Source organism: Homo sapiens, chromosome 5 (assembly GCF_000001405.40).
Source record: "Homo sapiens chromosome 5, GRCh38.p14 Primary Assembly".
NCBI classification, from domain to species: Eukaryota; Metazoa; Chordata; class Mammalia; order Primates; family Hominidae; genus Homo; species Homo sapiens.
The window spans coordinates 113,129,788-113,143,694 of record NC_000005.10 but is presented as its reverse complement, the minus strand read 5'-3'; the positions used below and the strand labels follow the sequence as shown (position 1 = coordinate 113,143,694).

At 40.5% G+C, this 13,907-nt stretch overlaps 1 protein-coding gene across 2 annotated transcripts in view; it reads left to right on the top strand.

Annotated features, from left to right (window-relative positions):
- The window catches only part of MCC (MCC regulator of Wnt signaling pathway), a 466,348-nt gene that overhangs the window by 344,759 nt on the left and 107,682 nt on the right, over positions 1–13,907 (top strand). For both annotated transcript variants that reach the window (NM_001085377.2, NM_002387.3), the window contains one exon: positions 335–477. In NM_001085377.2, the coding sequence (NP_001078846.2) occupies positions 335–477 (143 nt within the window). The remainder of the gene's footprint in view (positions 1–334; positions 478–13,907) is intronic.

Genomic DNA, 13,907 nt, shown 5'->3' with positions numbered 1-13,907 from the left:
ATGGATCTAGCTTGGACCACTTGCCTGTTTCTTGGCTACGGGAAAGTGGGGGACTTGAATAGCCCCACTTGGACAGTGTGCAATGGCAAAGGGACTGTTTCCCAAAGAGAGATGGAGTGCTAGAAAGGCAAAGACTCCAGTATCCACTGGGGGAATTATAAAATTTAGCCATTGATATGTTTCCTGGGATTGCCAGCCGATGAGCTGACATACATTTTATTTGGGGCATACTCAGTGTTGGCAGTTGTAATGGTTTAAGGCCACAAAGCTTGGAATCATCCACCTGTAGGTGCATGAATTCATCAGCACTTCTGTCCTTTTCCCTTATTCCCAGTGCGAGCAGTCCCACCTCATGAGAGAGCATGAGGATGTCCAGGAGCGAACGACACTTCGCTATGAGGAACGCATCACAGAGCTCCACAGCGTCATTGCGGAGCTCAACAAGAAGATAGACCGTCTGCAAGGCACCACCATCAGGTACGCGGCTCCATTCGGCTTTTACTCTGCCCCTTCTGCTAAACCCTCCATCTTGGAGCTGAAGTAGCCCCAACTATTTTAACTCCAAGACCGAAGTTCTAGTTTGTAGATTATAAACTAGATTATAATGATGTTTTCTTTGTATCTAAGGCTTTTGAAGTGTATATTTCTCTTTGCTTTGTTAATCATGTGCTTTTACCTCCCTTATTCTGTTCTGATTTGGGTCCTTACAGTAGCCCTGGAAAGTAGACAAGGTGGAGGTTGTGGTCCTCAGTTTGTTGATAAGGGTATGAAATCAGAAGTTGAGTGAAATGCTTTAGTCATGAGTTCTAAATGGAGCCCCTTCCATCTTAGAGACGAGCATCCCTGCTGCTGCTTTGATTCACTGGGTTGATACTAAATATGCAAACTGTGTCCCTCCCTTGGAGATTTTGAGAGATTTATGAATGTAGCTTATAACTAAGCATTATGTAGGCTTCCAGATAATCTGATTATATTTTGAGCTTACCTCAAATTGCTCTACCAACATGGATTTATCCTCTTACTGGACTCATAAGGCAGGGGGAAAGATTTGACCCATCATTTTACTGGTGAAAAAGCTGGAGCTTAAAGAGAGTGACTGCCTTGTAGTTAAAATTAGGAGAGGATAGAGGTGGGTCAGAACCCAGAATATCTCTGCTTTTACTGAATTTTCTTTTCATAACAATAACTGGTAGGGATTCTGCCTTCCTTACTTATTAATCACTTGGCCTCTAAGTCTCCTGCCACAGTGATTAGTTGGTTGTATCTGCCCTGTTCCTCAGAGGAGAGGTTTGCTTTAAATGACACTAAGCCGTGGATGAGAGCATTTTCATGTTCCTGGCGATGCTCCGGGAACAGCCTGAGGACAGCAAGTGGCTGGCACCTACCTTTTTGGAGAAAGAGCGCTTTGTTCACCAAATGCTTACACAAGCCACAATTTTAAAACAGTTTCAGAGGCAGCTACTTTAAACTCTCCTTCTAGAAGTCAGAGGAAACTTTGGATGCATTTTGTTCCAACACCAAGAGTCACAGTAATGGCGGGGCTTCTTGATGAGGCTACTAATGGGCATCTGTTTTCTGGGCAAAATTGTGGAAAAGTTTGCACTGAGCTGGAGCCACACAATAAACTGCATATTCTAATTTAGAACCTCAAGGCTTTTAAATTGTATATTGGTCTTCACAGTGATTGTAGGTTAGAAGTACATGAGCAGAGAAGAATTTTTAGCCCAAAAGAATGATTATAGCAGATGTAAAGGAGCCTGGCATAGGACACTGGCAAATTTGTGATTTTTATGCACTTTTAAACACTTGAGAAAGTGAAAGCAAATGGGCTCAGTAAGTTGTGAAAAATACAAAATATGAAAAAATACACATCACCTAGAAATCTCAATTTCAAGATGTTTAAATTGAATGTAATGACCAAACTGCTTCACTTTGAAATGCAGTGAGCTTCTTGACTACAAACATTTATTGGTGCCTTTAATTTAAAGGAAGACTACATCTGTGGAGATGTCATATTAAATTCTGCCAGTTTTTGTTATGTAAATGAGCTGGCCCCTCCTCGAGGGGATTCCCTGCAAGGCTGGAAGGCACTTAGACGTGTAGACCAATGAGACAAAGGCTCTCCTTGTCCTCTGAGCTCCTGAGGCTTAGGCATCTCCCCAGCCCTCAGCACTCCAGCAAATTGGTTTGGCCTCTGAATTATTCAGGGTTCTCCAGAGAGACAGAAACCAATAGAACGTAGAGACAGATAGACATCTGTAAAGATATGAAAGGGGATTTATTAGGAAGATTGGCTCATGTGATTATGGAGTCTGAGAAGTTTCACAACAGGCTGACTGCAAGCTTGAGATCCTGGGATGCTGGCAGCATGACTCAGTCCAAGTTTGAAAAGCTCAGAACAGAGAAGCTGATGGTGTAAATCTCAGTCCAAGCCAAAGGCTTGAAAACCTGGGGGAATGCAAGTGCAGGTCCTGGAGTCCAAAGGCTACGGAGCCAGGAGTTCTGATGTCCAAGGGCAGGAAGAGTTCTGATGTCCACGGGCAGGAGAAAAGTATTCTACCTCCAGGAAGAGGGAGAGTGAATTTGTCTTTTCTCTTCCTTTTTTGTTCTATCCAGACCCCTAGCCAGTTGGATGGTGCCCACACACACTAAGGGTGGATCTTCCCCGAGTCCAACAACTCACACACCAGTCTCCTCTGGAAGCGCCCTCACACACACATCTAGAAACAACGCTTTAACATTTCTCTCAGATATTCCTTAATCCAGTCAAGTTGACACCTAAAATTAACCATCACAGTCTCAGCTCTTAATATGCTGTGATGGGCCAAATGCAGTAGGAACTAGGCACCGTGGATGAACTCTAACTGCCCTAGCATACCCACGGTCTACAGAATTGCTTGTCATACTGGACAGACACAGTGGTGGTACCATTGTAGACTTTGGTGTCACTTAAATCTGGCCTCAGTTAAGAATTTATTGGAGAAGCTAAAAATCATTATTAAGGGCATAGTTTATATAAGCTATGATATATCCACACTTAAGCTATCCTGAATTGCTTAAGGAAAGAAAATGACAATCTCATAGTTTTCTATCTCAGGTCACAATCAAAGCACCAGGCACCTTCTGTGACTGCCCTAAAAGACTCCCATCCCTTACAGTCACAGTGCTAATGTAGCCAAAAATCAGATACTGCAGGTTGCAGATGCTAATGTGAGTTGAATTCATGGCCACGTCAGATCTCTTAAGTGAAGATTAAGCATTGGTAGGAAAAGGTGAAATCGTGAGAATTTGAACAGGGACATTTGGGTAGATTCAAATAAATTCAAATACCTGGAAACTACAAATTCCACTGAGCTCTCCCTCCTACAGAAACAATTCTCCCTCCTCATCTAATAAAGCAAGTCCTATTTTGCTTGGAGACTCTGTAACTATTTCATCCCAGGTAGGAGGTGGCAAATATAATCATGTCCCATTCCTACTTCATTCATCTTTATCTTTAGGCCTAAAAGTGGTCAAATATCATCATGTCCCAAAGAGATAAGTAGAAAATCCAACTTGGAAAGATACAAGTAAAGCACCAGAAGATTTGTAAGATTCCATTAATTTACATTTAATAAAACTCGGGGAAGTTTTATTGTATGTTCCTTAGAGATGCTGGATAGACCTTTGATGCATAGTTTGCAAATATTTTCTCCCATTCTGTAAGTTGTCTGTTTACTCTGTTGATAGTTTCTTTTGCTATGCAGAAGCTCTTAAGCTTCATTAGATCCCACTTGTCAATTTTTGCTTTTTTGCTGTTGCTTTTGGTGTCTTTGTATGGTGGTGCACACCTATAGTCCCAACTACTCAGGAGGCTGAGGCAGGAGAATCGCTTGAACCTGGGAGGTGAAGGTTGCATGTGTCTTTATAGTAGAATGATTTATAATCCTTTGGGTATATACCCAGTAATGGGATTGCTAGGTCAAATGGTATGTCTAGTTCTAGATCTTTGAGGAATCACCACACTGTCTTCCACAATGGTTGAACTAATTTACACTCCCACCAACAGTGTAAAAGCATTACTGTTTCTCCACATCCTCTCCAGCATCTGTTGTTTCCTGACTTTTTAATGATCGCCATTCTAACTGGTGTGAGATGGTATTTTGTTGTGTTTTTGATTTGCATTTCTCTAATGACCAGTGATGATGAGCTTTTTTTCATATGTTCATATTAATTCATGTGTGAGATTAGGAACTAAGGGTTCTAGACCAGGGAGGGAGGAACTCAGTTGGACCGATGACGACTTTATTGATAGGACTTTTCCTGTAAGAGATTCTGGATTGAGTATGTTACTATGTTATACTAATCAAACTAGTATTCACCAGTTTGAATAACTGAAAACTAGGCTCAACAAAGGACTCTGCATTAAATTATGTTGAAATGCCAGAACTTTGCTAGTATAATCTAGAAAAAGTTTAGAAGCCTGAGGAATCAGCGATGTTGACTGGGAGATAATGTCCTTAAAATGGGGTCCTTGGTACCACTGAACAAACAGAGTCGAAGTGGGCTTGGTTACTATATTGGTCAACAAGGGCACAATAGTAATCAAAAAAGTTTGACCTGCTAGGGATAGTTGTAGTGGCTAAGCTTGAGATCTCTAGAACTGATATAAATGGGCAGCCTACTAAAGTTTTACTAGATCATTATAGTCAAACTCTGGTCTGGTGAACAGAGACTTTACTTGTCATCACAATGAATAATCATGGCCTCATCCAATTCCCTTACCTGGATAACAGGCCAGTTATAGAACCAGAGTCCCCTGGATGAAGGGGAAGATGTATCAATCATGCCACAAGTGAGTACAGTAAACTTTCCTTTTACCCCTTCAAAGAGAATGGCAGGTACTTATAAGGGAGAGTGTGCAGTGGGGAAAAGAGAGAACCATATTCTTAGGTAGATTACTAGACATTGAATCTAAACTGATGATAACCCATGGAGCTTCAAAATATTTGTGGTTCACAAGTCAGAGCAGGGACTTAGGAAGGCATATCAGTCAGCTTGGGCTGCCATAACACAATATCATAGACAAGGTGGCTCACACAACAGAAATGTATTTCTCACAGTTCTGGGGGCTGGGAAGTCTAAGATTAAGACACAAGCTAATTATTTCCCCATTGAGGCTCTGTTCCTGGCTTGCAGATGGCCACCTTCTCACTGTGTCCTCACATGGAGGGAAGAGAGAAAGAGGAAGCAAGCTCTCTGCTGTATCTTCATATGAGGGCACCAGTCCCATCATGAGGACCCCACCCTCATGACCTCATCTAAACCTAATTACCTCCCAAAGGCCCTGTCTCCAAACACCATCACATTGGATGTTAAGGCTTCAACATAAGAATTTTGGCGTGGGCCAGGCGTGGTGGCTCATGCCTATAATCCCAGCACTTTGGGAGGCTGAGGCAGGCAGATCACTTGAGGACAGGAGTTTGAGATCAGCCTAGCCAACACACCCCTCTCTACCAAAAAATACAAAAGTTAGCTGGGCGTGGTGGTGCGTGCCTATAGTCCCAACTACTTGGGAGGCTGAGGCAGGAGAATCACTTGAACCCAGGAGGTGGAGGTTGCAGTGAGCCAAGGTCGCACCACTGCACTCCAGCCTGGGTAACAGAGAAAAAAAAAAAAAGAATTTTGGGACGCAATTTAGTGCCTGGGACCTTCTGTGACTACCCTAGAAGACTCTCCCATCCCTTATAGCTACAGGGTAATGTAGCCAAGAATCAGACAATGCAGGTTGCTGAAAGTCAGGTGGTAAGTCGCATTATGGACTCAATCCAAATCATAGTGGACCTAGTGATGGCACCATCTGAGAGGTAACCTTTTTCAATGCCCTAGAGATGTGGTAAATGCTCCGAACTAGCAACAGTATATGGTGCTGTGTTTTGTGGATTGAGAGAATGGAAGTGGCCCTTCTTATGAATACACCTAAAAATCCACTTAAAAAGTTGTTGCTTCTGTTACCCTGATACCAAACGCAGACAGGGGCATAACAACAACAACAACAAAAGCACCAGTTTCAGGCTAATATCACTAATGAAAATAGAGGTAAAAATCCTCAACAAAATACTAGCAAACCAAATGCAACAGCACAATAAAAAGGTCATTCACCATGATCGAGTGGGATTCACCATAGGGATGCAAATACCATTCAACATATGCAAATAAATAAACACAATATACCACATTAACAGAATCAAGGAAAAAACATGATGATTTCAGTAGATGACAGAAAAGCATTTGATAACCATCCCTTTATGATAAAAACCCTAAAATGGATACAAAAGGAACATATTGATATGGTTTGGCTCTGTGTCCCACCCAAATCTCATCTTGAATTGTAATACCCACATATTGAGGGAGGGAGGTGACTGGTTTCTTCCATTCTATTCTTATGATAGCATAAGAACGAATTCTGACAAGATCTGATGGTTTTCTATGTGGTTGACAGTTCCTCCTGCACATGCTTACACTCTATCCTGCTGCCTTGAGAAGGTGCCTGCTTCCCCTTCCACCATGATTATAAGTTTTCTGAGGCCTCTCCAGCCATGCTGAACTGTGAATCAATTAAACCTCTTTCCTTTATAAGTTACCCAGTCTCAGGGAAGTTCTTTATAGCAGTGTGAGAACAGACTAATACACATATCTCAAAATAAAGGCAACCTATGACAAACCCATGGCTAATATCATAGTGAAGGGGGAAAAACTGAAGGCCTTTCCTCTAAAGACTGGAATAAGACAGGGATGCCCACTTTCATCACTGTTACCCAACGTAAAACAGGAAGTCCTGGCTAGAGCAATTAGGAAAGAAAGAAATAAAGGGCATCCAAATTGGAAAGGAAGAAGTCAAATTCACCTTGTTCGCAGAATTATCCTGTTCACAGATGATATGATCTTATATATAGAAACCCCTAAATACTCCAACAAAAAACTTCTAGAACTGATACATTCAGTAAAGTTACAGGATACAAAATCAACACGTTAAAATCATTTTAGCATCTCTATGCACCAATAACAATCAGAGAATCAAATAAGTCAATTCCATTTACAATAGCTACAAAAATCTAAATTTTAGATCTAAAAAGGTTTAAATTTTGATTCCTTGCTTGCACTCCTAGCAGGTAAAAAATAAATAAATAAATAAATTTTGATTCTTATATAATTCTTACAGCAGCTCCTAAACCAGGAGAGCTACGATTACTCAAAGTCCTCAACCAAGTAATTCTACCTATAGGAATATCAATGCATGTATGAATCTTATCAGAAGATGTCTTGCACCCATGAGCTGTACCATCAGTAGGTCTATTTTTATTTATATTTTCTTATTTCAGATCTCTGTTTACATCACTAGGTCTAAAAGCAGACTTCTTCAGGAGTAGAGATTGTTGATTACTTCATTAAATAAAGAATTCTAACCAGCTGAGATGCTAGCTAAAGAAAATAAGGATTTCCTAGTAGGAGAAGGAAGGAGTAAATATCAACTGTAGCCTGTAACCAGCTATAGCCTGTAATCAGAAGCAATGGCTACGCTATGCATATATTCTTGCTTTTATGTATATATGCATGTCCCTTTTTCCTCTTACTTTCTCCTACTTAATTTTTATTTATTTATTTATTTTTGAGACAGAGTGTTGCTTTGTTGCCTGGGCTGGAGTGCAGTGGCGCAATCTGGGCTCACTGCAACCTCTGCCTCCTGAGTTCAAGTGATTCTCGTGCCTCCCCCTCCTGAGTAGCTAGGATTACAGGTATGCACCACCATGCCCGCCTACTTTTTTGTGTTTTTAGTAGAGATGGGGTTTCACCATATTGGCCAGGATGTTCTCGAACTCCTGGCCTCAGGTGATCTGCTCACCTTGGCCTCCCAAAGTGCTGGGATTACAGGTGTGAGCCACCACGTCCAGCCTCTCCTATCATTTTATATAGGATGAGTTGGTATTGGTGAAACTCATAATTTAGTAGGTAGGTTACGTATCTAGGTGGGTTTTAATAGCATTTATATATGCCAACAGTGAAGAATCTGAACACAAAATCAAGAAAGCAATCCTATTTACAATAGCTACAAAAATTATAAAATACCTAAGAATAATTTTTTTTTTTTTTTTTTTTGAGACAGAGTCTCACTCTGTCACCCAGGCTGGAGTGCAGTGGCACGATCTCGGTTCACTTCAAGCTCCACCTCCCAGGTTCACGCCATTCTCCTGCCTCAGCCTCCCGAGTAGCTGGGACTACAGGCTCCCACCACCACACCCGGCTAATTTTTTTTTTTGTATTTTTAGTAGAGACGGTGTTTCACCACGTTAGCCAGGCTGGTCTCGATCTCCTGACCTTGTGATCCACCCGCCTCGGCCTCCCAAAGTGCTGGGATTACAGGTGTGAGCCACTGTGCCCGGCCCCTAAGAATAAATTTAACCAAAGAAGTAAAAGACCGACTGGGCACAGTGGCTCACGCCTGTAATCCCAGCAACTTGGGAGGCCGAGGTGGGCGGATCATAAGGTCAGGAGTTCAAGACCAGCCTGGGCAATATGGTGAAACCCCGTCTCCACTAAAAATACAAAAATTAGCCAGGTGTGGTGGCAGACGCCTGTAGTCAGCTACTCAGGAGGCTGAGGCAGGAGAATTGCTTGAACCCGGGAGGCGGAGGTTGTAGTGAGCTGAGATCGGGCCACTGCACTCCAGGCTGGGAGACAGAGCGAGACTCTGTTTAAAAAAAAAAAAAAAAGAAGTAAAAGTTCTCTACAAGGAAAATTACAAAATTCTCTCTAAAGAAACTGGAGAGGATGCAAACAAGTGGAAAGATCCCCATGCTTATGGATTGGAAGAATTAATATTGTTAATCTATTTATGCCTAGTGTTCCATTACTGGAACGCTAAGCTTGTGGGAGTTATTTATATCCTACTGCTCAAGGTCATCACCAACGTCTGATTTTTCACACACAAAAAAATTTCAGGCTCCAGCACAAATGGGTTAAAATGTTAATACTACCCAAAGTGATCTATAGAGTCAATGTAATCCCTATCAAAATACCAATGTCATGCTTCACAGAAATAGAAGAAAAAAAAAATCCTACAATGTTTATAGAACTACAAAAAAAAAAAAAAAAAAAAAAAGCCCAAATAGCCAAAGCCAATCCTGAGCAAAAAGAACAAAGCTGGAGGGATCACACTACTTGAGTTCAAATTATGCTACAAAGCTGTGGCAACCAAAACAGCATAGTACTGGCACAAAAGCAGACACATAGAGCAATGAAACATAATAGAGAATCCAGAAATAAATCTACTCATCTACAGTCATCTCATTTTTGACAGAGGTACCAAGAACATACAATGGGGGAAAGAACAGTCTCTTCAATAAATGGTGCTGGGAAAAGTGGATATCCATATGCAGAAGAATGAAACCAGACACCAATCTCTCGCCATATACAAAAATCAGAGCAGATTAAAACCTAGACATAAGACCTGAACTATCAAACTACTCAGAGAAAACATTAAGGAAATGCACTAGGACATTGAGTCTGGGCAAAGAATTTTTAGTAAGACCTCAAAAGCATAGGCAATGATAGCAAAACTATACAAATGGGATTACATCAAACTAAAAAGCTTCCACACAGCAATGGAAATAATGAAAGTGAAAAGACAAACTACAGAATGGGAGACAATATTTGCACACTGTCCATTGGCAAGGAATATAAGGAACTCAGTAGCACAAAAAACAAATCTGATTTTTTTTAGCAAAAGATTAGCGAAAGATCTGAATAGACATTGCTCAAAAGAAGACGTACAAATGGCCAACAGGTAAATGAAAAAGTATTCAAAATCACAATGAGATATTCTCTCTCCCCAGTTAAAATGGCTTCTACCAAAGCATAGGGAATAATGGATGCTGGCAAGGATATGTAAGAAAGAGGAAGTCTCATACACTCTTGGCAGAAATGTAAATTACTACAACTGCTATGTAAGACAGTATGAAAATTCCTCAAAAAACTCAAAATAGAACTACCATATGATCCAGTAATTCCCTTACTGGGTATATATCCAAAAGAAAAGACATCAATATATTGAAGAGATACCTGCATTCTCTTGTTTATTGCAGCACTTCACAATGGCCAAAATTTGAAATCAATATCAGTGCCTATCAACAGATGAATAGATGAAGATACACACAATAGAATATTATCAGCTATAAAAAAAAAAAGAATGAAATCCTGTCACAGCAACATGAATGGAACTGGAGGTTGCTATGTTACATGAAAAAAGCCAGAAAGCACAAAAAGACAAATATCGCATGTTCTTACTCATGTGGGAGCTAAGGAAGTGGATCTCATGAAGATAGAGAGTATTTTGGTGGTTATTAGAGGCTGGGAAGGGTAGGGAGGAGAGGGGGATGAAGAGAGGTTGAATAATGGGTACAAAAATATAGGTAGATAGAAGAAGTAAGACCTAGTGTTTGATAATTCAATAGAGTGACTATAATATTTTATAATTCAAAGTAGCTACTAGAGAATAATTTGAATGTTCCCAGCATAAAGAAAAGATACATGTTGAAGGTGATGGATATCCCAGTTATCCTGACTTGATTATTACACATTATAAATGTATGAAAATGTCACAGGTACCCTGAAAATACGTATCTATCCGGTATCAGTAAAAACAAAAAAAAAAGAAAGTTATAGATTCTTATTTTTGCAACTTTGAGCTCTGCTAGTTTGAAATCTTAGGGAGTTCTCCATCAGAGAATACAAAAATGATTCCATTGACTGCCACCTGTTTAGCCCTTTGGGACACCCCATGCCACTGAGCCAACAAGCAAAGAAGGGAGTTACTCTACTGGCTGGAGTAACTATCAAGAGGAAATTGGGACACTGAGTACTATGTCTGAAACACATGGGAATCCCTAGGATACCTTCCAGTAATTATCCAGTGGTAAAAGTTAGCAGATTAGAACAACCCAATACAAGTCAGGCCAAATACAAGTCAGTCCACTAAGGGCTAGGCCCTTGAGGAATAAAGATTTTGGATTACTTCATTAAGTAAAGAACTAATTCTAACCAGCTGAGATGCTAGCCAAACAAATAAAATATGGATTTCCCAGTGGAGGGAAGTTATAAATATCAGCTATAGCCTCATGACCAGTTGCAGAAAAGATGGCTAGGCTGTGCATATTTTCTTGCTTGTATATATATATGTATGTGTGTGTGTGTGTGTGTGTGTGTGTGTGTGTGTATATATATATATATATGTATGTGTGTATATATATATGTATGTATGTATATATATATGTATGTATATATATACACACACACACACATATGCACTTTTCTTTTTCCTCTTATTTTCTCCTATTATTTCATATAGGGTGAGTTGGTACTGGTGAAACTCATAATTTAATAGGTAGGTTACATGATATCTAGGTGGGTTTGTCATTGAACTGGAAGAATGAAGATCACTTTACAATACTATTGTTAGGAATAATGTTTAAAATTTTAAGGAAATTGAATCCTTGTAAAGTTCCAGTTAATAGAAAACTCAAAAGAAAAAAATTATAAATTAGAAAATAAAAAATTAATCGTTATTTAAAAAAACGCTTATATCCCACACTATAAATCATGGTACTTTGGATCTCTCATTTTCAAAAGTTGAACCTATTTAAATTGAATCAAGGAATGACTACAGAGAAGGTTAGTATCATTGCTATTGCGATTTAGAAATTGTGGTATGGATAAGAGGGTGCATATGGTTGGTCACTGAGTAGCTAAAGAGGGTGGAGACTATGATAGCTGTTGTCTGGCACTTGATACCATTCCCACCCCTCTATTCTCCCCAGAATCAAAGAGGGCCTGGGAACTACCTCTCAGATTCTCTTACCAGCTGGGTTCTGGATAGAGTTTTAACTCTGCCGATGAAATGCACTCACATGGGTTTGGAAGGCAGAGGGAGGTGGGAACCTTTCTCCCTCAGGCTGTGGTGGTGCAAAGTCAGTAGCAGTTCCTGATCTCTGAGGGGATCACAGCCACGATGGCAAATCTGACAGCTCTTGGTGGCCTTTACTCACCTCTCTTTTCTGCAGCCCTTTCAGCAATTTTGCAGGCATGGAACTAAGTTAAATCCTTTCTACTTGAAACATGCAGTGCAGTTTGTTTTCCTAACTGAACCCTGCCTAATGTATCCTAAATCCTATCTCCTAGGATTAAACACTAAACACTTTATACATAAGGCCTTCTGAAAAATTGTATTCATGAATATTTTAAACAAATCTGATCATATAACACGCACTGTTTTGTAATATGTGCTCTTTCTCTTAACTGTTATGGGTGGCTTTTTTTAAATGTTCACCTGACTTGGGGAGATTATATAGTGGGATGGGGGAAATGGAAAAATATATCAGTAGCTCACTGGATGTGAAAAGAAAATAAAAAAGGATTTCTAAGCAAATTAAACATGAGATCTTTTCTTTCCCAAGGAGGTTATTTTCTTTTCTATAAGCTACTCTCATAACATCAGCCTCTCACTACCAAGTCTCATGAGTTGTTCATGTTCTCTGCTTCATCTCCCCTTTGCTCGTTAGCTCACTGCTGCTGTGTGGCATCTGACTCCAACAGTTTACCAAAACCCTCTTGCTATGAACTGAACTGTGGTTCCCCCTACCCAAATTCATATATTGAAGCCCTAGCCCCTATTGTGATGGTATTTGGAGATGAGGCCTTTGGGAGAGAATCAGGGTTAGATGAAGTCAGAAGAGTGGGGCCCTGTCTTAGTCCCTTTGTGTTACTAGAAAGGAATCTGAGGCTGGGTAATTTATAAATAGAAGAGGTTTATTTGGCTCACAGTTCTGCAGGCTGTACAAGAAGCATGGCACTGGCATCTGCTTCTGGTGAGGGCTTCAGGCTGCTTCTACTCATGGCAGAAGGGGAAGGGGAGCCGGCTGTGCAGAGATCACATGGCCTGAGAGGGATGATGTGCCAGGCTCTTTCAACAACTCGCTCTCCAAGGAACTAATAGAGTGAGAACTCACTCACCCACAAGGAAGGGCAATAATCTCTTGAGGGATCCACTCCCATGACCCAGACACCTCCCACTAGACTCCATCTCCAATATTGGGGGTGAAATTTCTACATGAGAGTTGGAGGGGACAATCATTCAAACCATAGCAGGCTCTCAAGAAGGTATATTGCCTTTTTTTCATTTTTTTTAATTATACCTAAGTTCTGGGATACATCTGCAGAACGTGCAGGTTTGTTACATAGGTATACATGTGCCATGGTGGTTTGCTGGACCCATTATCTACATTAGGTATTTCTCCTAATGCTGTCTTTCACCTTGCCCCCATCCCCAGACAGGCCCCAGTGTGTGATGTTCCCCTCCCTGTGCCCATATGTTCTCATTGTTTAACTTCCACTTATAAGTGAGAACATGTGGTGCTTGGTTTTCTGTTCCTGTATTAGTTTGCTGAGAATGATGGTTTCCAGCTTCATCCATGTCCCTGCAAAGGACATGAACTCAATTCTTTTTTATGGATGCATAGTATTCCATGGTATATATGTGCCACATTTTTTTTATCCAGTCTATCCTTGATGGGCATTTGGGTTGGTTCTAAGTGTTTGCTATTCTGAATAGTGCCACAATAAACATACATGTGCATGTGTCTTTATAGCAGAATGATTTATAATCCTTTGGGTATATACCCAGTAATGGGATTGCTGGGTCAAATGGTATTTCTGGTTCTAGATCCTTGAGGAATTGGCACACTGTCTTCCACAATGGTTGAAGTAATTTAGACTCCCACCAACAGTGTAAAAGTGTTCCTATTTCTCCACATCCTCTCCAGCATCTGTTGTTTCCTGCCTTTTTAATGATCGCCATTCTAACTGGTGTGAGATAG